The 25,294-nt window shown below is 41.0% G+C and overlaps 1 protein-coding gene across 4 annotated transcripts in view, besides 2 other annotated features; it reads right to left on the bottom strand.

The window, feature by feature from the left end:
* WWOX (WW domain containing oxidoreductase) overlaps positions 1 to 25,294 on the bottom strand; it is a 1,113,014-nt gene that overhangs the window by 990,223 nt on the left and 97,497 nt on the right. The window lies entirely within an intron of this gene.
* Positions 7,986 to 8,485: an enhancer, noted in NCBI's record as "H3K4me1 hESC enhancer chr16:78247857-78248356 (GRCh37/hg19 assembly coordinates)". NCBI's record gives its function as "activates a minimal SCP1, AML or CMV promoter by ChIP-STARR-seq in primed H9 embryonic stem cells {active_cell/tissue: H9 hESC(primed)}" and the evidence as "EXISTENCE:reporter gene assay evidence [ECO:0000049][PMID:30033119]".
* Positions 22,059 to 22,353: an enhancer, noted in NCBI's record as "tiled region #1447; HepG2 Activating non-DNase unmatched - State 6:EnhF, and K562 Activating non-DNase unmatched - State 22:ReprW". NCBI's record gives its function as "activates a minimal TATA promoter and a strong SV40 promoter by Sharpr-MPRA in HepG2 and K562 cells {active_cell/tissue: HepG2 | K562}" and the evidence as "EXISTENCE:reporter gene assay evidence [ECO:0000049][PMID:27701403]".

Here is a 25,294-nt window from a genome sequence, read left to right as displayed (position 1 = left end):
ATGGCACACTCATTACAGGACATGAAAGGCTGTGGGCACAGGTTGTCCCAAGTTCTGTTGCCACTCAGCTAGTTGGACTTCTCCTTTTTTTTTTTTTTTTCTATTAAGTCGTGTCACAGCCAAACTCTCACCCCTAATGAGGCACAGCTGGGCCCTTGGCCCTGAAGAAATACGCGTTGGAAATGAACTGGAAAACACTTGGCCTCCCTCAAACTTCCCAGGAGACAGCTTAGCCCCTCGTGCCCCCTGGGAGTTGGCTTCTTTTCCAGCGGCCATCTTCACAATCAAGCAGGAAAATGCCATTGTTCCAAAGTACACAATAGGTTCTGGTGGTTTTCAAACATCCTCCATATACCAGTGCAAATGGAGGGGCATCTGAGGCGAATTCCACAGGATGTTTTAGGAGCCCACAGGCCTTGACTTTCTTTTCTCGGCAGAAGTTTTAAGTTCCAGTCCCCAGGCTTCATTCTTTATATTCTTGGTTTGGAAGACAGAGGCAGCAGTAAGAAAATAGATTATGTATAAGGAAGACAAATAGGGCCCAATGAATTACCCAAACCAAACAAACAAAGTCTGCTTTGGAAATAAGGTTTTGGAGGGAGGTGAGACCTGTATGCATGAGTGTATAAAATCAGAGAGAAATGTGTCAAAAACAAATTACAAACCTTCCAAATACGGGATTACACATGAATGGATGGTAATAATCACACATCACTCCAAGGCAATCTGTGTATTACATCTTGCATTTCATCAAACAAGGCTTAGCTCTTGGGTCATTAATTAGCAACCTCGGTTCCAGATACCAAAATATGAGGAAGGCTATAGTACTCGGGTCCTGCTTCAATATTGTGATTTGTTTTTCTTATCTACTTCTCTTTTTCTTCCCTTATTTTGCTCACAATGCCTTCTGAGGAAAGACAAGACCTTTCTTATAAAAGGAAAAATATCCATGTCTCTACCCACAGAGTCCACCATTAATGGAAATAGGAGATTGCTTTCTTCAAAGTACACAATTAAAGTAACGTACTAACTCCTTTACACATAACACAAGAAAGCTAGAGGAAGTTTTATGTATTTATATTACACTTTTTCCTTCTTCCTCTTTTCTCAATATAGGAATCTTTCTGTTTTATGAAAGCTAAGCCACTCCATACAACGAACAGTTTACTCCAATACAAATAGAAATTATAGAAAATATAAAAATCCTACTAAACCTTTTAATCTCTAACTTTCCAAGCAGGTGAATTAATACAGAGGACATTAGAGATTTATTTTCTTTAAGCTCCAACAGTAAAGAGTGTTTCAAAGTCATTCTCAAAGCTGTAGAGATTTTTAAAATCCAGATGAACCGAGCTTAACTCTGTGATGTGATATATAATAAAATCTACTCCAAGATTCACCTACTTAAAGATATATGATACATTTGGATAAGAGAAAATGAAATTTTAAAATCTAAATACATATGAATCAAATGGTTAAAAAATTAAATAGAAGTTTCTTGCTTAGAGTAATAAATGCAAGCTTCTCAGTGGATATCCTTAATCCTGATTTTAGAATGAGTCCAAAAAGAAATTGCCAGAGTGAATACCAGGTAACAGAAGAAATGATGGGCATGTTTCTCTGTAGAACAACCTCCCTTCCCTAGCCGCTAACTATGGTGGTACTTACTCATCACATTCTAGCTCAGAACTGCCATTCTGGTCCTTTCATTCTTGTTAGTCATACCAGCATTTGTAAACTGCTTTCCACATTAAAAGAAAAGTAAATGGTTCACTTGTCCCTAAACTTTTTGTCTTACACAAGACAACATTAAGCATATTTCAAATAAAAATGTTCAATTTTCGCTAGCTATGTTAAAGGTTAATACCCAAGCTAAAACCACTGGGTTTTAAAAGATGGTTAAACTGAACAGAAAGCTTTGATTTTCAAGTTATGATCAGAAAATAACCATGGGAGACTGTCGAGAAATTAAAAATATAGTCAGAAAGCCTTTAAGTATTACTTAGCAAAACAGCTATGACCCAAAATAGCATTGTTATATGTTTGTTATTCACTTCAGTAATGACTGAAAGTGAATAAATAAAACTTGCTCGGAAAAATAAGGTTTTGAAGGAAGATAAAAACTGTACATTTAAGTGTATGAAATCAGAAAGACATAAGGTAATAGAAGTATCCATCACATAACTGGCCTTTAAACCATGTAAAACTCATTGATACCCACATGGGAGGCCAAAGAAACGCAATTTCCAACTCAAGAAACTATCACACAAAATCCCAACATGTTCTAGACACCACTGGATAAGAAATTTGAGGGAGTACCCCGAATAAACAAACATTCACAATCATTCACAATCATTCAGCATTACCTCCCATTCTACAGGGGGATAATCCATTTTAAATTAATTCTGAATTCATCAAAATACAGTTCACAGAATAATTATACTGGTAATGATTCAGGAGACACTTTAAAAGAGTATTATAGCTTTATTGTGATATATATAGTTCAAATACATTTTGCCCATTTAAAACGTACAATGTTTGGTAAGTTTCAGTACAATCGCAGATATATGCAAACCGTCACCACAGTCGAGAGAAGTCAAGATAAAACAAGAGAACAGGAAGAGAAAGAAAAACAAAGAGAAGGAGAGAAGGAAAAGAGAAGAGATTTGGAGGTACATATTCCAGGGTGAGTTCTTGGGGTCTTTATTGTTTTAGGACTTCTCAGTATTCGTCGTGGTAACAGAGCTTTATCTGCCTGGTTGCCAAATAATGTCTTCCCAAATAATATGAGAGAGAAAGCAAAAGAGAACTGTTCATTCGCAAAACTGAGACTCACCGAGTTAAAAAATTAAGTTGTACAGATCAGAAATGTAATCATAGGAGACAAGCTCTGAGAGTTTTTCAATCACTGTGGGGTTGCATCAATTTAAAGTCATGTTACATTAAAGAGAAAAATGTCTGGGAGAGTCTCTTCCTGTCACTTTAGATTAGATTTGTTGTTGTTATCTGGCTGTGCATTTTGTCGGCTTCATTTTACATTTTAAAGATATTGCTTAATGTCCATAAATAAAAAACTCATAACCTACGACTTTTTCTCCATTGTCCAGAGATTAGTAGATGGCGCAAATTAACAAGAAGAGCAAAACACTCAATGTTCATCTAGATTCATATTAACATATTAACTAACTTCCTTGGAGTAATCTAACATAGGCCAACTTCAAATCCAGTGATTTTTTTTTTTTAACTCTGCTCCACTTAATTTAAGAGTTACACAAAATCAATTTGTGGTCTATCTCCCTTCACCTAGTCTCTATCATGTAGGAGGGAATTGGAAAATTCCATCTGGTGTGTTTCAATGTTTCCTCAAGCGCAACTTCCTTTATCTCACCAAGATCTTGTTAAATTGCACATGACTTTAGTCCTGGACGCCAAGGACTTCTAAACATCAAGTTGCATAAAAGTGACATTTCACCAATTTAAGTGATAAGTTTTCAAATTGTGAAGCATCTAATTGCAACGATAAATCCACCTTGCTTTCCTCTATGGCCAGACATCTGTATCTTTAACAAACAAAAGTGGCAGTTTAAAAACAATTAGACTCAAAAACTCTAATGAATAAAAATCACTGTCCCTACAGATAGCACGTAAACTTACATGCGCACCGAAGCGTGCTTCCACACTGCACGGCGCACACTGGCCAGGGACATTCTGAACCAGAAAGGGCCCTGGCCCCAAAGTCGTGCTTTCCCTACTTTGCTTTCTAGAATGGAGACCACGCTACACATCATAAATCTAGAGAACACGTTAAAACCTTGATGTGCCTGTCATTAATGTAGCTGCTTTATCGTGACATTTTTTTTTTCCTTAGAAGAAGGAGAATAGTTTTCCTGTGGGTTGGCGGTAAATTTTAAAAAGCATTTTCTGTGACCTCATATAGTCAAATCATGACTCCTGTCAACCAACAGCCTCCTGGCATCCTCACACACCCTTAGTCCTATAGAGTTACATCATACACACATTTACATGAATTGTCAAAGACATTAAGAAAGGCAAGCAAAGGCCAGGCATGGTGGCTCAGGCTTGTAATCCCAGCACTTTGGGAGGCTGGAGGAGGACTGCTTAAACCCAGGAGTTTGAGCCCAGCCTGGGAAACATGGCAAAATCCCATTTCTACAAATATATATATATAAACACACATGCACATACATAAATATAAGTATAAATCAGCCAGGTATGGTGACACACATCTGCAGTACAAGCTACTCGGGAGGCTGAGGCAGGAGGATCGCTTCAGTCTGGGAGTTACAGGCTGCAGTGAGCTGTGATTGCACCACTGCATTCTAGCCTGGGTGACAAGAGTGAGAGCCTGTCTTAAAAAGAAAAAAGAAAAGAAAAGAAAGGCAAGCACAGGGAGGGAGAGGGAAAGTAAAAAAATTGAGGGGGTGAGATACGTTGGCCTCTGCTTTTTGTGGAAAAGGAGGCTGCTGCATAAATACAAGGAAGAAACCAGCATATGAGTGTCCAAACTGAGTTGCCAAGGGCATGAAGTCTGGAAGGATCTTTGAGGGTCATTTGACTTCACTCCACTTCCAGCTTATATGCTGACTTCAGAACTTGACCTGTGCAGAAGATGAGTCTCCACGGCCTGCACAGCACACAGAATTATTTATCCCTATACCCCCATATATTACACCCCCTTCCCCGGTAAGTGAAGAAACTGTCTGCTGAAAGAATGCATGAATCTTGCCTTTAACGTCTCAGGCATGTGTTAAACACTTTCCGAGACACCTGGCACCTAGTAACTTTCAATAGATTTCTCTTCTGAGCCCTCTGTTAAGTTTCTCGGTCTCTATTAAGGTCGGAAGCCCAGCATCTGGGAGAAGAGAGTGGTTCAGCTCTCATCTCATCGGCAGGATCACATGTCTCAACACAGCCAGGATTTAGGAACAGCAATATTCCATCTTAGGCAGTTCACCACTTCATACGATTATTTGGCACCCTCGATTTTTGTTCTGCTGCTCACATCACACAAAGGCTATTTCTACTTTATATCTTTAGCATTTTCCCCACACCAGAGTTGTACCTATATACATGCTGTTTCCACCAGCAGGAAAGTAGGAGTGCAATCAGCTATCCTCGCTTTGGCCAGTGGTGCTAGGAACTGATAACTCCACATATCCTGCAAGGCAGGCAGGAGAAGTTAGGAAGAATCAGGGAGGAAGGGAACAGACTTTTATGACTGTGGATGCAGGGCAATGGGCTCTCACGTTGTGGTAGACAAAATGATGCCCATTTCCCAACCAAAGATGTCCAGGTCCTAATCCCTGAAACCCGTGAATATGGTAGACTGCGTGGCAAAGGAGAATTCAGGTTACCGGTGAAATTAAGGTTGTTAATTACCTCGCATTAAAATAGGGAGAGGGGCTGGGTGTGGTGGCTCACACCTGTAATCCCGGCAGTTTAGGAGGCCAAGGCAGGCAGATCACTTGAGGTCAGGAGTTTGAGACCAGCCTCGCCAACATGGTGAAACCCCATCTCTACTAAAAATTAGCTGGCATGGTGGCATGTGCCTGTGGTCCCAGGTACTCAGGAGGCTGAGGCAGGAGAATCGCTTGAACCCTGGAGGCGGAAGTTGCAGTGAGCCAAGATCAAGCCACTGCACTCCAGTCTGGGCAACAAAGCAAAGCTCTGTCTCACAAATAAAATAAAAATAAATAGGGAGAGGACCCTGGTTATCTAGGTGGGCCAAATGAAATCACAAAGATCCCTAAAGGTAGAAAAAAAAAAGCAGGAGAAGAGTCCTGGTAAAATGTGACCACAAAAGAAAGACAGAGAGATGCAATCTTGCTGGCTTTGAAAAATGAAGAGGCCATAGCAGAGGAATGTGTCAGCCTCTAGCGTCATGGGAAAAGGCCAAGGAACGACCTTCCCCCAGAGCCTCCAGAAAGAAATGCCAACAACTACATTTTAGCCCAAGGAGAACCCTGTAGGACTTCTATCTTACAGAACTGAAAGACAATACATTTGTGTTGTTTAGGTGCTACACTGGTGATAATGTGTTACAGCGGCCAGCAGAAACTAATACACTTGGAAACAATGGCTGTAACGCATCCATCAGTCCACTGGTTTTCTAACCTGCAAGTGTTCAAAGTGTTGATTTACTTTAAAATAATTAAGCCAGGCTCTGGGGATTATAAAGACCAAAAAATTGTATCTATTATCATTATTACTCCCCCCATTGTTTTTATGTATATATTTATTATTTTACTTTTCAGCTGTTCTTATTTAATTGACAAGAATCAGAAACAAATTGAGATGGAATGGTCCACACAGGGCCCATGCTGAGACAGGCAGTGTGGCTGACGGATGAGACCATTGGTTAGCGATGTGTTTGTGTCTCTGTTGTGCCCCTTATTCACTGTCCTGCCAGGAGCCAGTTAGTGGCTCATCTGTGAAATGGGAATAAGAACAGTCCCAATATCTCACAGATCATTGTATTAATCTGTTTTCTTTCTCTTTTTTTTTTTTTGAGATGGAATCACCCAGGCTAGAGTGCAGTGGCATGATCTCGGCTCACTGAAACCTCCACCTTCCAGGTTCAAGCGATTCTCCTGCCTCAGGGTCCCAAATAGCTGGGATTACAGGCACACACCACCATACCCGGCTGTTTTGTATTTTTAGTAGAGGCAGGGTTTCACCATGTTGGCCAGGATGGTCTCAAACTCTTGACCTCAAGTGATCCATCTGCCTCGGCCTCCTAAAGTGCTGGGATTACAGGCATGAGCCACCGTGCCCAACCTGTATTAGTCCGTTTTTGCACTGCTATGAAGATACTACCCGAGACTGGGTAATGTATAAAGGAAAGAGGTTTATTGACTCACAGTTCCGCATGGCTAGGGAGGCCTCAGGAAACTTACAATCATGGCAGAAGGCAAAGCAGAAGCAAGCACCTTCTTCGCAAAGCAGCAGGAAAGAGAATGAAGGCCAGGGGAAACTTCCATTTATAAAACTATCAGATCTCACGAGAACTCACGTGCTATCACGAGAACAGCATGAGGGAAACTGCCACCACGGGCCAATCACCTCCTACCAGGTCCCTACCTGGCACGTAGGGATTATGGAGATTACAGTTCAAAATGAGATTTGGGTGGGGACACAGCCAAACCATACCAATCATCATGAGGATTAACAAAGAGGAAACACTGTGCATAAAACACCACGTGAGCACAACACCTGATACATAGCAGGTGCTTGATATGGGGAAGAAAATGACCCATGGGACTTAAGTGATTTTACAAACAGCACACAGTCAAAGAGCAAAGCCAGAAATATCATGCAATCTTCCATCCTCTAACACTCTTTCCCCAGCAATATCCTACATCTACTACCAAACCCCGCCATGTCTCAAACCACTGAACTTTGGCCCATATTGGCTAAACAGCAAAGACAATCCTCTTAATTTAACCCATTCTCATGGTAGTCTCTGTAAAGCTGCTTGAATATGATTAAGTATCAAATACTGTCATATCAGTAGAACTAAAATATACCAAGTAGTATCCCTAGTTTCCAGCCCAGCTCCAAATTTTTAAACGACAAACCTTTTTTTTTTTTTGGTAATATTTATTCATTGACTATTGATATTTAACTGTTTTCACAATGATAAAGTAGCTCATTAAGAAACAAATAAAGACATAAAATCAAAGTATGAAGCCAACTGAGGGTCAAACTGAATGGAGCGTTGCTGGGCATTAAGGTTACAAAGAAAGAAAGGCCTTGCCTTGCTTTTAGCAGGCTTAGCAACTTTTTCAGGGACCTGGGACACGAATATTCAAAAAAGAAAGTGCTAGGCAGTGTGGCTAAATGGCATGATTAGAAGGGACAGCATATTCAGAGGGAGGTGCAATCCCTGAGGGCTGAGGTCCAGGAAGAGACTTCGGGAGGAGATCAGACTTGGAGGATGACAGGGGTGGGAGTGCAGACAGCGACCACAGAGCTGACAGCAGCAGACTTCGATTGTGCACAGAATGCCAGCCACTGTTGCTTGGTGGTTTATCATCTAAACTCTCACAAAAGCCCTAAGAGGTAGGAACAATTACAAACCAACACCTTTTACAGATGAGATAATTGAAGTTCAGAGAGGTTCAGTACTTGGCTAGTGATCGCACAGGTAGGAATTAGCTTGAACTAGGACCCCTCGGTCTGATCTTGAAAGCACTCAAGAGGAGCTGCGGTGACTTTGGGTGACAAAGCACTGACAGGGAGATAGGGATCCTGAGACGTGAGGGTCCAGGGGGTCAGTCTGCAATGTGGAGCTGATGTGGACCCAGTCATGAGCCCAGCCCTAGGCAGCAGGGCATGGGCAGCAGGGGAGGCAAGGTAAGTCTGATGGGCCAGGTGCCCCTGCCCCAGTGGCTGGGAGGCGCAGACTCTGGAACACAGGTTACACCTCTCATTTCAGTGCTTAGAAGAGCAGAGGCAGCTGTACAGGGGAGGCGCGGGCCACAGCGTGACATGCTCACACCCCGGACAGGTCTGGAGACAGCCTCCTGAAACCGCCCTGGGGGCCCCAGAAGCCCTCAGGTCTCCAGGGCTTGTCACTCAGGCACCGAATACACTTAGCCTAATTGGATATTATTCCTTCTTCATGAAGCCAAGCAGGTTGTCACCTAGTTCCCTGGGTAAGACATTTGCAGCTTCATTTTGCAATTACATCTCCCTGGTATTTGTCATGGCACAGAAGTGAAATTTCTGTCTCTGGTCCCCAATGTCATCTTTTCCTTCTGTTTAAAATCTAGGTGCTATGCCAGTTCTTTTTTTAATCTGTAAGTTCTTTTCCACCCTCTCCCCCACAAAAATCCTGCAATATCTGACCAATTATTTTCTCAGTCACATTAAAAATAGATGCCATTCGCATTGCCACTATGGCAGTTGTGAGCGCTGCTCATAAGTATCCTGATCTTCAATTCTTTAGGGCACACAGTAGGACTGCACTTATCTTTCGAATTGGGGCATGACCATTGCCTTGCTTTCACCAATGGATTGTGGGGAGAAGCAAGATTTCTGAGTGGAAGTGCTTAAGCCAGACACTAATCCCCCATGCTCCCTTATATTAGGGAAAGAACAGAGGCACATGTAAGAGATGGTGCTGAGGTCAGCCTGGATCCCTGAAAGATTTTTTTTTTTTTTTTTTTTTTGAGATACAGTCTCGCTCTGTCACCCAGGCTAGAGTACAGTGGCATGATCTCAGCTCTCTGCAGCCTCTGCCTCCACGGTTCAAGCAATCCTTGTGCCTCAGTCTCCCGAGTAGCTGGGATTACAGGTGCACGTCACCATACCTGACTAATCTGTGTTATTAGTAGACATGGAGTTTCACCATATTGGCCAGGCTGGTCTCGAACTTCTGACCTAAAGTGATCCGCCCACCTCCCAAGTTGCTGGGATTACAGGTGTGAGGCATCGGGCCCAGCCAGATCCATGAATGACTTTAAAGCACAGCCCCTTACCTCCCATCTGTGGTCAGATATCACGAATGGGAAATGAATTCACCATGCTAAGCCACTGAGATCCGGGCGTGTTTGTTACAGCAGCACACTCCAGTGCAGCTGGCCTGAGAAAAGCCATTTTAAGCAGTTCAAGTTCCATCCTGTGTTCCATGTCTTTCTCAAGAGGTTGGCTTTTACTTTGCCTTCCAGCATTACCAGACTGTTCATGAGTTATCAAGGGCAGACCAGGCAGGCCTCCCAAGGGGCAATATCTATCCTAAATCTTGCGTCCTTTTTGGTTCCTCTCTATGCTGCATACCCTCTTTCGTGGACCTAATTCAGATTTGTAGAACAAGAAAATGTTTCTCACCACCTTGTCATGAAGGGGACCTAGGTGAACTCACCCACATTTCAGCTACAAAATTCAAATGCAGACACAGCCCATCTATCAGTCCTCATGGGACTTTGCAGAATCCAATATAAACTACAGAGGTAGTCAAAGAAGGGGTTGTTCCTCCATTTCCCCCTGGCAAATCACCACCATTCCTGGGGCCTGGATGCTTTAGGGATCACAGTAGGATTACACTTCCCTGTCCTTTTGAATTTGGGGATGGCCATTGACTTGCTTTCGCCAATGCAAATTGTTTCCTCTGAGGTTACATCTATTCCTACCAGCCTAGATTGATCAGCCTCTGCCCTCAGAGAAGAAATCAATCCCCCCTTTTCCATGGAGTGAGCTTTCCTTCTGTGACAGCACTAGACTGCCAAAGAAGCAGAGAGCTGAAATGCTCCCAGCAGCTCTACAGCTGAGGCCAGGTGCTAGCCTCTGGAATGAGGCTGGACTGGGCAGGGCAGTTCCCGGCCCTGCATTCCAAACAGGATGCTCACCTGCTTGCTGCTCCCACATGCCTTTCCCAAATACACCAAATAATAACAAAAGAAGATGTTCAAATAAATAGAGCTCCCATGATTATGTACCATGGTAGCAAATAAATAGAGCTACCAGGATGTTAACATGCATTATCTCCAGTGTCCAAAACAAACTCAGCTCAGAGAGGGTAGGGGCAGTTAATGACAGAGCCTGGATTTGAACCTCGTTCTTTCCACACCATATTCTGGTCCCTCCCACTGGTGCAACCTTCCTCCCTTCATGCATGTTCTTTGAGTTCTTCTCCCTGCTGGGAAGATCTTCTCCAATCCTAGCTGTGCTGCAAAGCCAGGTTCCCACTGCAAAGCCACTCCGTTATTCATTCTCACCCTGAACTCTTCCTTCTGGAACCACTTCTCTACGGTGTTGGTAACAGAGTTAGCACACTGATTCTAAGCACACAGTCCAGCAGCCTCTTTTTTCTATATTTCCAAGACATCAATGTAGTCTTGACAATGCAGCAGCAGCAGCAGCAGCAGGAGCAACAGCAACTGCCAAGGTCTGCAAGTGGCTTCAAGATGCCGGGGACTTTATTAAGCAGTTCCCAGGTGTGATCGCTCTCTCTTGCACTCATACACTCAGCTCAAAGGTCACCTCAGCAATGAAGTCTTCCCCAAGAACCTGACAAGATCAGTGCTCAGCACACAGTAGGCCCACAGCATGTATTTGATGTACAAGTGAACAAAAGGAAGAATGAATGAAAAGAGCTCTTCAAAGCCATGCCTCTGGACTCCTTGTGACGTGTGAGTCCCCTGCCACAGCCATAAGAAGTCTCCAGCGGTTCTACCATCGCCTTCTTGAGAAGTAACACCCACCCTAGACTCGTGGGAAATTGGCAGCGTGGGAATTAAACTCACAATGTCTGTTCTCTTCCACTGAGCTGCACTAGGGCCAGAACCCAAAATAAATTCCTTTCAGCCCTCTAGCCTCTCAGTAGGAATATCTGAAGTATCTTTAATCAAACTTTAGAGGCTGAAATTGCCCACAATTCTAAAAATGCCTCCAGTTACTATGGATTTATCAGTGAAGAGAATGAAATAAAGAAAATTTGTTTCATAGTTAAAGCCAAGGCCACTTTATCCCAGATGTACTTAAATCACTTAGCTCTTAACAGAATCTTTAACTATAAATATACTAAATTTGGTAGTAGGATAGATTAACTACAAAAGGAAATTAACACTGCCTTAGAGAATGTAGATAACATATTAAACCACAGATAGGCTACTTTGGAGAATTATAACTGGGTAGACCTAACATTTTTAAATGGATATTAGAGATGATGAAATGCCACTTGGCCACCCTCTGAAATGCAATTGAATTTACATTGATTAAGGAAAAACAGGGGAAATCTAATATTATATAATGCCTTACATTAAAAACTTTAAACAAGCCCCAAAGTGGCTCCTTAGGAAACAGGTTTTGGGTGACTAAGCAGTGTGTCATTAGCCCTCTGGTGAGAAAACGCAGGATTTAGTTCCTTATGAGAGACAGAGAAAGAGAGAGAGACAGAGAAAGAGAGAGAGAGTGTGTGTCTGTGTGTGTGCACGCGCGTGTGTGTGTCAGGTTTCAACTGTGGGTAAATTAGCACTTGCCTTCCAAAGAGACCAGCAGCAACTACAAAAGTTTGCAGGGCTTTGTCATTAGCCTGTTTGCATTCTCCAAAGCAAACTGACAGTCTCATGATGCAGGGCATTAAAAATCCTCAGTGGTATCGACTGCCTGAAGCCGATGCTTCCCTGTTAAATACAGCATGGCTCAATTAAGAGCTCTTCAATATACAATTTAATTTTTCTTTCATCTTGATCCACAGCCTGGCTCAAAATGAGGAATGCTAGAATAGATGTACTTTGAATATTGAAGCAAGTCTTTATAAATAAACCTATCACCCTTGTAATGATTTCTGTCATAACATGACAAAATAGATGAAGCTCGGCGTCTGGAACTTCAGCTCACACGTCATTTTTCCAACATCACCAGGACCCACAATTTTTTTTTTTCTTTTTGGCTTTTCTCGTACTTTTTTCCAGTTATCTCTGAATAACATTCTGCTGTTTAAGAAAAGTTTATCCTTTCTTCTTTTCATTCCCTGTGTGGCAATTCTTCAGAAAGAACGAAGAAAATTACTATTCTGCTACTTACATGTAAGAGAAAGAAGGTAACTTATAAATGAATTATGAAGGTCTTACCCTTGGAAAGACATACATATTTCATCATAAATGTGATCCATTACACTTATTCTACATACAGTATTTATATTTGTACATGATTATTCAAGGTTTCTTTTTTTTTTTTTTTAATCTCCGCAAGCCCATACTTTCAAAAGCAAATCCAACATTCTCCTTTAACCTGTAAGGCTCAGACTAGAGGATACAAAAGGTACTCCCAATTGACTCCACATGTATACTCTCTCTCTGGATGGAAGGTATTAGATTTACAAAGAATAGCAAGAATCATGGGATTTCTCAAAGGTGCACATATTATACAGAACAATGTTCAAATACCTGCATGAGCTTGCTATGAGTCAAGGAGGAAGACGTTTCACTTTGGGCCTAAGACAATTTCTTATATTGAAACATATTCATAAAAAACAGACTTGACAACAGTTAATGCCTTGGATAGAATTGTGTAGCTCTGACATGCATTTCTGACAGTTGGCTTGAGCTAGATGAAGAAGGAACAGGGCTCTCTCTCCCGAAGTGGATAAAGTATCAGTGGAGCAGCCTAATACCCATTCCCTTTCTGATCAAATCATTCCAGTTGGTCTTTTCGGGCTGCAGAGCTCCTTGCTGAGATCTCAGGTAACGTCACAGTCACATCACGACAACAAATGTAAACTTATTTAAAATTTACTGGTTTTACCCATTGTATTTGATTTTCATGTTATAATTTATAACCTATTTTAAAAATTCAAACAGCATTTCTTATTTTTCAACTTGATCACTCCCTATTTAGCATGAAATAGACATTACACATAAATATGCATATGTATATACATTCAAATACAAGCATTCCCAATAGGAATTGACAAAACCACCCACATTTTAAACACACTCCTTCCATTCCCATTCTTCTTTCCCCAGATGCTGCACTTAATATAATTTGGAAAGATCTAAAAAAAATAAATAAATAAATAAAAAGCTGTAAGACAATTTTTAATTGTCAGAGATGGAGCACTTAGAATTTATAGTAATTAACTAGTCATTATTTCAAATAAGAACATTAATTGGTATGTTCAGAAAATCTGCAGCACTGCAAAATTTAAAATAAACATTACAAAGATATCATTTACAACTAATCTATATTTACCATTGAAGTGAGCTTCAAACTATATTTCTTTCTATTATGCTTTTATTGGCTACAGCACACAGTAAATGGAGTGTGTTATGCACAGCTTCCTAAACAGCTAAATTTATAAAACCCAATTACATAAATTAATTAGGAATGAACGCATGCATTTATGCCTTTGTTTGCAACTGCAACATATTAAACATGACAAAATTAATAAAGACACCCTAAAAGAAAAAATAGTGCCACGTATTCATATTCCATAACAGGTTTTTATGAGATTTAATTTGATTTGTCTAGTCCTAAGGGTCGTGACTCTTAATAAATACGCAGTTTCTCACCGTTTCATATACATATGTAACGGTATGTTTTTATGACTCCTAAAGGACCAAGAACATATAAATTCAAGAGTATTTATTTCAAGATTCAGAGACAGAATGGCAAAGAATTACTCAAATGTTATTTCTGCCTTCGTTATCTCCTACATTGTTATCAAAGACAGCTTTTTGGTAATTAGAATGATTCGCCATCCCCTAGCTTTATTATAGAAAACGTCCAGTAAAACAAGCTTACTCTGAGCTCCACGAAGGAATAAAACATTGGCATATGATCAAGCTAGCCAGAAGAGCACTGCTGAGGCCAGATGGAGAGGCTCATGCCTGTAATACCAGCATTTTGGGAAGCCAAGGCGGGCGGATGACCTGAGGTCAGGAGTCCGAGACCAGCCTGGCCAACATGGCGAAACCCTGTCTCTACTAAAAATACAAAAATTAGCTGGGCGTGGTGGCAAATACCTGCAATCCCAGGTACTCAGGAGGCTGAGCTAGGAGGATTGCTTGAGCCCAGGAGGTTGATGCTGCAGTGAACCAAGATCACGCCACTGTACTCCAGCCTGAGCAAAAGAGACTCTAACTCAGAAACAGGAAAATAAAATAAAATAAAATAAAAAAGCATGGTTGATAACAGACCCTTTTTTTTTTTTTTTTTTGTAATAGGGTCTTCCTCTGTCACCCAGGCTGAAAATGCAGTGGCACAATCACAGCCCACTGCAGCCTCATCATCCCAGCAATGCACTGTTATCCTGTTACCGGATATAGCAGATGCTACATCTATTGTATCTTCAAACTAAAGAGACTCTGAAACAAGTCACCAAAAAAGAATACGTTCTGCTTCTCAATTAAAGGAGTGAAAATTAAAATGAGAAGCTACTTTAATCCTAACAAAGTAACAAAGATTACCAAAAAAAAAAAAAAGTAAGGGAGATAATACTTAGTGCTGACAAAGATGTAAAAAGACAAGCCCTCTTAGATAATGTTGGTAGAAAAACTACTTGATTCACTTCTGGTAAATATTTGGCAATATCTATCAGGGATATGAAAATTATGTATACACTTGAATCAAATAATTTTTAAGATTCTATGATACAGATATGTAATAATTTATGTAGAAGAATAGTCATCAAAGCCCACTATTTAAAAATGAGGAAACAGCATAAATATATACAAAAAGAAAACAAAATAATTTGTGGCATCTGCCTGGGATAGAGTAGGTCCATGTGGGTAACTAAGACCATCATATTTTTAGAAAGTGGGCAAATGCTCATTAAATAGTTTTAACTGGTAAAAATGAGCAATAGGTATTACCAGTAGACAATGTAGAATTAATCCCAATTCTCCCTTTCCTTAGCCCTCTGGCCCTGGGAAAATTACTTCACCTTTGCATGCCTGAGTCTCTTCATCTCCAAAATGAGGATAACAAGGAATCTATCTTGATGAAACACTATGCAGATTAAACTTTTTAATTCACATAAAACATTCAATTATCAGTAAGGGAGAGGTATCATTAGCTATTATCATTATCTCAATTTTGCAACACAGAAAAGACTAAAAGGGTCTGAAACCGTACTTTGTCACTTCTTTTAGTTGTGTGACCTTGGACGTATTCCTTAAATATTGCAGTTGTCTGACTAATCTAAAATATGTTAATAATTAACACTCTAGTCAAAAGGTAGTTCTGATGGTGAGAGAAGACATTCAGCCCAATATCTGAACCCTGGAGGTAATCAGTAATGATTTTCATAACTATTAATTGTATCTACAAAAGTATTCACCAAGAACCCCTTCAGTCTTAAACCAGAATTAAAAATAGAATAGGGTGAAATTCTAAATTTTTGATGGAAACACCAAAGGTAATATTTATAGATGGTTTCTCATTCCTACTCCAGGTAGTAGAGCAGCATCAGCTTAGAAACTTCTCTCAGTCTTTCTCCCGTCTTTTGAAGGTAAAGACCAAAATGGGGTCAACATTTAAAGTTCCTAATCTTAGAAACCCTAAAATACCAAGGTACTTTACCTTTACCTTTTTTTTCCTTCTAATTCTTCTCCTCCTCCTTTCTAATGGTTGTTCCTTTATTTTAACAACCAAAATACTTTTGCTGGGACATTTAACGAGAAATAAAGTATATTTCAATGACAGGCTCATTTCCAAAATTATTTATTTTCATTCTGGATTGATATTCCACCACCAATAACTTCAAAGAATTTAGCATAGCTGTTATTATATCATACTATATCTCAAAACCCTGAAATGGTTCCCAATAGAACATAGTATAAAAAATTTCAAACTCCTTAGCCTAGACATTCTAGATCCTACAAAGACTTCACCTGATTTCTTCTCTTCTTCCATTAATCGTCTATTGATAAACACAATGCAATGGTGAAACAAAATACCAGCAAGTTAATAATGGAGACAGGAAGGGAGGAAGGGAGGGAGGAAAGAAAGGGAGGGAGGAAAGAAAGGAAGGAACAAAAGAAAGAAAGAGAAGGAAGGAAAGGAAAGGAAGACAGGAGGAAGGAAGGGAGGATGGGAGGAAGGGAGGACGGAAGGAAGGAAGGAAGGAAGGACGGAAGGAAGGAAGGAAGGTAGGAAGGAAGGTGTGGGTAGAAGGATGGATGGCCAGATGGGTGAAGGATAGGTGGGTGGGGTGGGTAGATGAATAGATGGATAGAAGGAAGAAAACAACGAAGGAAGGATGCATGGATGGATAGATGAATGAACAGATGGATGTGTATGGATGTATGAAAGGGTAGATGAGTGGGTAGATGGATGGATGGAAGGGTGGATAATTGGAAAGGCAGATGGAAGTGTGTATGGATGGGTGGGTGAGTGGAAGGGTGGGTGGATTGGCAGATGGATGGATAGATTCATGGGTGGATGGATGGGTGGATAGATGAGTGGATGGATGGGGATGACTAGATGAATGTATGGAAGGGTGGATGGGTAGGTGGGCAGATGGGCAGATGAATGAAGAATAAGTGGTTGTGTGGATGGATAGATGGATGCAAGGACGGTTGGATGGATAGAAGAATGAAAGGATGTATGAACGAACAGATGGGCCAACTGACATATGGATACGTGGAGTTTTTCTATCCTAACTTATTGTTTGGTGGCATTTTTTCTGTTTGTCTACCTAACTCCCCATCTCTTTTCAACAGTAATAATTCTACTTGCAACTCTTCCACAAAGTCTTCCATGACCCCCACATTCCATCCCCATCACTGGAAAAGACTGCTATGTGCTCTGAACTTCCATAATTGTCATGTCATCCTGTCCAGCTCACCACAGAGTTCTTTAATATCCAACTCCTCTGCCTCCTGGATTTGAGCTTCTAGATGTCAGAACTGATTTAAGCCCCATGTTCATGTCTGCCATAAGAGTGTCTTCAACAAAACAGTTTATTCATTCATAATTATTTATTAACTGATTGGATATCCCAAATAACTTTTAATTGTTCTTTTCAACATCCACAAGGCAAGAATCTAGAATTTAAAATTCTCTATTCTCTGATCTTAGAAAATATGGTGGTCTAAATTTACCTAACTAATGGCAAGGAGGTAAGACATAAAAATCAACAGGGTCTAACTTTGCTTCCATCACAGACTTGCTATGCAATATGAGGCTCATCTTTTCTCTCCTCCCCTCATATTTCTCATCCCAGCACGCAGGTGTGTAATCAGGTATTTCTCAGGGCCTTCCTGCCTCTCCGATTGTGCAGTCCCATGATGCAGATGGCAACAGAATGCACCTACTATGCATCTAAGATTGTGTTTCTTGGATCTAAAAATCAAAACAACTGAACTCACAGAAATGGAGAGCACAAAAATGGTTACCAGAAGCTGGGAAGGGTAGTGGGGGGTTGATGAGGAGGTGGGGATGGTCAATGGGTACAAAAAAATACAAGGAATAAATAAGACCTACTATTTGACAACACAACAGGGTGACTATAGTCAATAATAACTTAAACTGTACATTTTTATATAACTAAAAGAGTGACTGGATTGCTTGTAACACAAAGGATAAATGTTTGAGGGGTTGGATACCCCATTCTTCATATGTGATTATTTCACATTGCATGCCTGTATCAAAACATCGGATGTACCCCACAAATATAAGCACCTACTATGTACCCATAAACATTAAAAATAAAAAAAATTTTAAAAAGAGATTAGGGTTTAAAAGAACAAAAAAAGGCTGGAGGGTCTGCCCACATCTGGTAATAAATAGCTTTTCACATTCTTGTTCTCTCCAAATAGGAAGCCAGCTGCTATGGCTCTCAAAGACATGCTCTTGCTACAGGTAGTACAAACTGTCCCGTCTCCGGGCAGACTGTGCCCTCACCACCTTCTCACCATTCCTGTCCCTGGAGTTGAGGGGATGGCTGACAACGTGTCAGTGGCCACACCGCCATGTCCAAGCAGACTATAGATACACACTTGTTACCCATCAACTCTCCAGAATTGGAAAGAATTCAAGGCAGCAAGCTTCCACACTCACTGTTAGCCCAGGCCCACTCTCAAAAGCCATGCACAGGGCTCTTTCCAGGGAAGGTCTCCTTTATGTAATCATACTATGAGAAAGGGAGGAGAGTAAAATGTGATTCATCTGTCACGACCACACCAGTGAGGAAAATAACTAGCACGCGCTTGCCCAAGACCTTCTTGAACATTGAGCCTCATTATTTTACCTGCTCCCCCATCCCTTCCGCATCTAGTTTTATGCTCTCACCTATCCATAAATTCCTCCCCAGTTCTCCTCCCTACCTGTGGTCGCAAGAATGTTAACTGACATCTCTTGATCTTGCCTTCATCTTGCAGACGGAGATACGGTCTTCTTGTCAACTAAAACAAGTTTGCCTAATTATATTATTGAATATGTTTTATTTCTGCCAAGAAAAAACATATCGAATATCTCCCCATAAAGACACAGAGAATTTTGCCTTTTCCGTCATAAACTTCTATCCAAATACACTCAAAATATTTATTATACAACCTAACAAATTTCTCTTCTCCATTGAAACATATTTCCCTTTTGAATGAACCTACCCATCATTAAACTTGCTTAATATTGATTTGTCCCAGAACATGAACCAGTGCTGCAGTTTCCCAGTCATCTTCCCCAGTCATCTACTTGGGGCCCCCCAAACCATTGCAGGATGGGCAGGCAAAGGTGGGTCTCTTGATTTTGCACTAAGTCCAACAGAACCACAGTGAGGTTAAATGAACTCCGCCAGGCTCTGCAGTTTCTCACCTGTTCCCAGGCCTCTTTCTTCCCCACCATCCAGCCTTATGGCCTTTACTTGACCTCCCCTTTCTAAAGACACCAGTTCAAGGATAGGCTGAGGCAGGATGTGATTGTGTTTTGTTTTCCCACTATAATCCAGACAGCCTAATTCTATTCCCTTTACTTCCATAGTTGGCAGACAGCCTGTGCAGGAACTGGTACTACTGAAACATGTTTTTATTTTCTGTTTTGACCTTCTCAAATCAGTTATAGTGCTGAGGACAAAATAATTGCTCATTTATTCACCTATGCTGTTCCAAGAACTATTCCAGGAATTCTTTTCTACATGGAGCATTTAAAAAGACAAAAAAAAAAAAACCCACCAGGCAATGAAAAAAACAAAAAATTGCAAATATAATGAGAGGTTGAGCTATTTTTTAAAGTGGGGACACAGTACAGAGACAGAGAACTGGGAGGACACTCTTTTAGACAGGGTATAAATACTGCTGACAAATGGATTCATTCTAAGTTCCTGGTACTCCAGTCGAATGAAATTTCTTTCCCAATGAAATTTTATTTTTAAAATGTTAAAAGCTGAAATACATGCACTTACAAAAATGTTCCCCAAACAGAAAACTGATCTGACAAACAGATCAACAACCAAGTCAATGAATGTGATGGTTACAACCGAGGTCTACATGGCTTTTTTGAGATTCAATTCTTGAAAAGGTGACCAACTTAGCTATGTTCCAACAACCTAAGGCTTAAAATGGATAAAGCCAGATCGACGGAATTTAAGAAACCTGACCAGCTACGTACCTGGAAAAGGAAGGGAACAGAAGGATGAGGCATGGGCCAAGGGTTTGGAGAACCACCCTTCATTCCTTCCTTTCTACCAGAGGCCTCATGGTCATGGCATGTTGCACCAGGACCAACAACTCTTCCACGTCAGTAATCTGAGCCCAGCCTAGAAAGGAAGATGGGACAACACTGTCCCCAAGACATTACTGGTCTGGAATCAACTAGGTTTGTGGGGAGTACAGGAGCCATGTCAAAATTGTTCCCTTATTTAGCAGGTTTTCAGCCAGATTGCAAGTCCAGGATGGAAGAAGCTAGTAAAAGTTTGGGAAAGGAAAGGGGTGGTTACAAGTAGAGTTTAAAGAGGAAAAATCAAAAACAAAAGGAAGGCTGGGTGTGGTGGATCACACCTATAATCCAGGATTACACTTTGGGAGGCCGAGGCGGGTGGACTGCCTGAGTTTAGGAGTTCGTGACCAGCCTGGGCAACATAGCAAAATCCCGTCTCTACTAAAAATACAAAAAATTAGCCAGGCATGGTGGCACGTGCCTGTAGTCCCAGCTACTCAGGGGGCTGAGGCAAGAGAATCACTTGAACCTGGGAGGCAGAGGTTGCAGTGAGTCAAGGTCACACCACTGCACTCCAGACTTGGTGACAAAGTGAGACTGTCTCAAACAATAAATAAATAAATAAATAAATAAATAAATAAATAAATAATCCAAGGAATGCCCAGTGAGGGGACTGGGGGTCTGGGAGAGGGGTAAAGATGAGCTTAAGGGTGACTCAGAAATAATCCCACAAACACAACCTGGTAGGCATGGCTGAGGTAGGACTCTCTTCCAGAAGGGACTAAATTGTTTTAGAAAACTATAAATATCTACTTCTCTCTTGCCTCTTTTTTCAACCTGCTACTCATTTATTTGGTTTTGCCAAACATTTATCATTTCAGGTCTTAGTTATCAACATTTTAGACTTAGAATACAGTCTTAGAATAATCAAGCCCAAATCATTAATACCTTCCGGTCATGCCTCCTCATGCTTTCAATATTCTCATAAGCTTAATAAGTTTTCAATACAACCTTAGCCTTTCCACATTCCCCACATAATAATGTTATATTAATTTGTCTTCTCAAAAAATAAGTGTCTTAACAGACAATCATTTTGGTTCTTAGTTGAAATTCCTTCCCTACTTCAACGATCACAGAAGAAAAGGAATACACTGCCACATTAATGAGTACATTTTAACACCTTAAGACAAAAACATTTTATTTAGGTGTTTCCAAATAGTACAGTCCCTTCTATCCAGGGTGGATTAATACGAGCATAGTAAAAGACCAGAAATGGTCATATTCTCTTCAGCTCTATGTTCCTTATAACTGCTTCCATGAGAGTAAAGAGACTTGCTATGTCTATTTAAAAGGCAGAAGTAAATGTTTACCTTTCAATCAAAAGCTTTTCTTCTGTTTGCCGTCTGCTGTGCACCCATACCCTCTCACAAATAAAAATGAAAGGAATTTTTAATTGCATGAATAGAATTTGGGAGTGATGCCTGTTTTCCCCTCCAGCACAGCCCATCGTGAATGCACACGTGCAAAGTGCTTCCACCCAGGGTCCAGCACATATAACCGAGTGGACGGGCCCAAGACAGAACTTGGTGACACTTTCTATAAACAGACAGGTTCACCTTGGGCAAAGGCACCACACTGTAAAATTAATCCAGCTCTACAGATAACAAAAATTCCCCAGGGCCTAAAACAAGGAAGTCAGATCTGCCAGTATGTGGATTAACTGATTTAAAAAAAAAAAAACTCAAGGGAAAGCACAGTAATAATGATGATATTAAAAATTTTTGTGATACTTTATGGTGTAATGGATGCTCTACTAAGCACCTGGACAAGACCAGTGTGAGCCCTCACAACATTTTACATGCTGGGAAACTGAGGCTCAGAGAAATCAGACATCTAAACCAAACTTTTTTTTATTCCTTTTCTCTCTTTTTTATTCCTTCCTCCTTTCTTTTCCTATTGTTGTAAGAGCGAATGCCCCAACCTTTATAGACATCCACTTAAAGAACTGTCAGCAGGGGGAAAGGAATTAAAACAAACCCAGACAACTAAGCAGTGAGTCACGTGAAAATCAGAAGTCGGGCGAGGAATTTTTAAGCTGCCTACTACGTGCAGAGGAGATCAGGGTCAGCGGCTGAGGCAACAGTCAGCAAACATTGCTCCTTCCAGTTTTACAGCTGACTCAATGTCTGGCCTTAGAAATCTCTTGGCGACACTCAGTAACTTAAAACAGGAGATATAAAGAAATGCATTATTTATTTCCTCCCTTGCCATTCCTACAGCTTTTGAAAGAAAATTAGGTTGCACATTGACTACCAGGTCCTTGGTGATTTCTACTGAAGCGATCACCTTTGTGGCTCCATACATAAATATTTTTCCTACTAGGAAATGGCTCTTCTTGCATACATTAGTGTTTTCCCTCATACCATTGATCACTCCATCCAACAGCCTGCTTAGCCTGTCAATGACTCATTGACAGTGAAATCTACAGACATAAATGCCATCAGCTGCTGGATTCTGACAAGAGAGAAGAGGGATCTTGGAGTCTGGAACTCAGCCTAAGAGAGACATTCACAAATGTGATTTTTTTTATGGGAAGGGGGTAGGATGTCATGTATATGTGACACAGACGTCTGAATAAAAGAAGATCATCTACGCAGGCTCAGAAATAACAGGTGAGTAGCACTAAGGAGATTTAGAACCTGTACCCTTTAAGCTGCTAGTGAGCGAATGGCATGCCACAGTGCTAGCATCTGGTAGAGCATAAAAAAGAGAAGAGCCCATGAGAACACTGGCTTTCCTGGGTAGTACAAAGGTCATGATGCCGGATCCGCAGAGCAGGAAATACAACACAGGGAAAGATTAGTTGACCCTTGGGTTAGAAATTTCTAGATGGCCCTAGTGATGAACATATTTATTGCTTCTCATATTTTACAGTCAATCCATAGATAATACATGGGAGTTTTTTCGTTGTTGTTCTTAGTTTGTTTGTTTGTTTGTTTGTTTGTTTGTTTGAGATGGAGTCTCGCTCTGTCACCCAGGCTGGAGTGCAGTGGTGCGATCTGGGCTCACTGCAACCTCCGCCTCCTGGGTTCAAGTGATTCTCCTGCCTCAGCCTCCCGAGTAGCTTGGATTACAGGCACGTGCCACCATGCCCGGCTAATTTTTTGTATTTTTAGTAGAAACGGGGTTTCACCGTGTTAGCCAGGATGGTCTCAATCTCCTGACCTGGTGATCCATCCACCTCAGCCTCCCAAAGTGGGATGCATGGGAGATTTAATTATGGCTACAGAGTGGAAGGTGAATGTTATGGACCATGATAAGGCAGAAGTATAAGTAGCAGAAGTTACGGGTGAAAGGGGAAAAGAAGAGGTAGAGGGATTGATCAGGGTACAAACAGCCTCTTCTTATGAGAAAGGGAGTAAAGAACTCCCAGAGCAAAGAACTGTCCAGAGCAATTTGAGCAAAAATGGAAACTTACATGTATATATACCATTACATATATGTATGCATGTGTGTGAATGCATATATATATATATAAAATGTTTACATATTGACATATGCGAAATATACAAAATCTGAAGTTACAAACATAATGGGAGGAAGGTGATACAACTAGGGAAGATGGTAAAAATGAGCTAAATCCATGCTCGTAACAGCAAAAGTCATTAGATAGTGCCTGAAATCAACAGCTGAAGAAGTGGCAGTTTAAGCACAATATTAAGACACAGGAAGCAGCCACGAGAGCATCAAAAACAGAAATTTCTCCTAGAAGTTGCCTTTGTTCATCCCTGCAGCCAACATCCAGAGAAACACTGGCATAGAGCCCATTCTCCATCAGTATTTATTGAAGGAACAAACAAGTGGACAGAGTGGAGGGTGTGAAGGGAAGGGTGAGAGGCCATTGCTTGCTATGGTTTGTCTCCTATAACACTGGATTTTTTTCCTACTGACATCAAATATTACCTTGCATGTGTATCGGATGCGGGGGATGGGGGAGGGTGTCGTTTTTAGTTTTGTTGGTTTCATTCTAATTCCTCTGGTAGGAATCCAGTTCCCAGGATCTTCTTTGAATGCTGGGGATGTCCTATGTAAAAATGCAAGATCTAGGAATCAGTCTGGAAGTAGCTGCATGACCAGACAAGCCTGGCAGAGACCCCCAGAGGCACCTGCCCCAGGAGCCAGACTCCTCAGACTGGAGACCTGGAGCGTAGATGCCTGCAGAGACTGGATGGCTTACCAACCGCTACCAGGAGACAGTGGCCACTTTTTAGTTAAACTACAGTTTTAGGGAAGAGGAGTGAAAACTGCCCTTTGCTCCACCATAACTACAAATTTGCTGTAAAAAGGAAAGAAAATGGAAGAAATTTAAAAAAAAAATAAAAGAAAAACTACCAGTACAGGGAAGGAGGAGGAGTATGTGACCTAGTCAGTTTCCAATGAGCAGTTAAAACATATGGGGGCTCTGTTTTCAAATTCTGCTTCTGCCAAGGTATCAGCAGCGTGGCCTCGGGCAAGTCGCTCACCTCCTCTCCTTGTCAGTATGTCTTGATTGCACTGCCATCTCCCTCATTTGTCAAGTGAAGACAATGACATCCTTTTCATGGGGTTATTAAAGGATGAAATCATATAATGTCTATAAACGTTTGGCATGCAATAAAGACGTGAAGTATTATTTCCCTTCTCCCCCTCTCCTTAGGATGAAAACTGGATAAACACACAGCCTTCTATCACAAAATGAGTTTATTCACAGATATTTCCTAAAAAGATGGGAGAAATGTTTCATGGTAACGTTTATTAAACTCAGATTCAAATTGACCTCAAAACATATGAAAAAAATTTTTAATCCCAAAGACATTTTGATGGACAGTCAAAAAAGTTACAAAATGTAAAGCTCAGTAGGTAATTAGCTGAATTCTGAAAAATCATATTATATCCATTATACTTGATGTGGTGTGGTGGGAGGCAACTAATTTACAGCATCATCCAGGAGGTGTGCTCATATTAAAGCTTGGTATAATATCGTATTAGAAACTGTGGTATATGGGAAAGAGTCAGGTGGCTTTGGAGTCAGATGGCCCTCAATCTGGGTGCCAGCAATGCCACTTGACAGCTGACGGACCCTGGCTGAGTTTCTTAGTATCGCCGAGCCTCAGTTTCCTTGCAGAAAAAAGGA

The sequence above is a fragment of the Homo sapiens genome, chromosome 16 (genome assembly GCF_000001405.40).
Source record: "Homo sapiens chromosome 16, GRCh38.p14 Primary Assembly".
NCBI lineage: Eukaryota > Metazoa > Chordata > Mammalia > Primates > Hominidae > Homo > Homo sapiens.
Note: the sequence above shows the minus strand (reverse complement) of the source record. Positions and strands in the feature narration are given on the sequence as shown.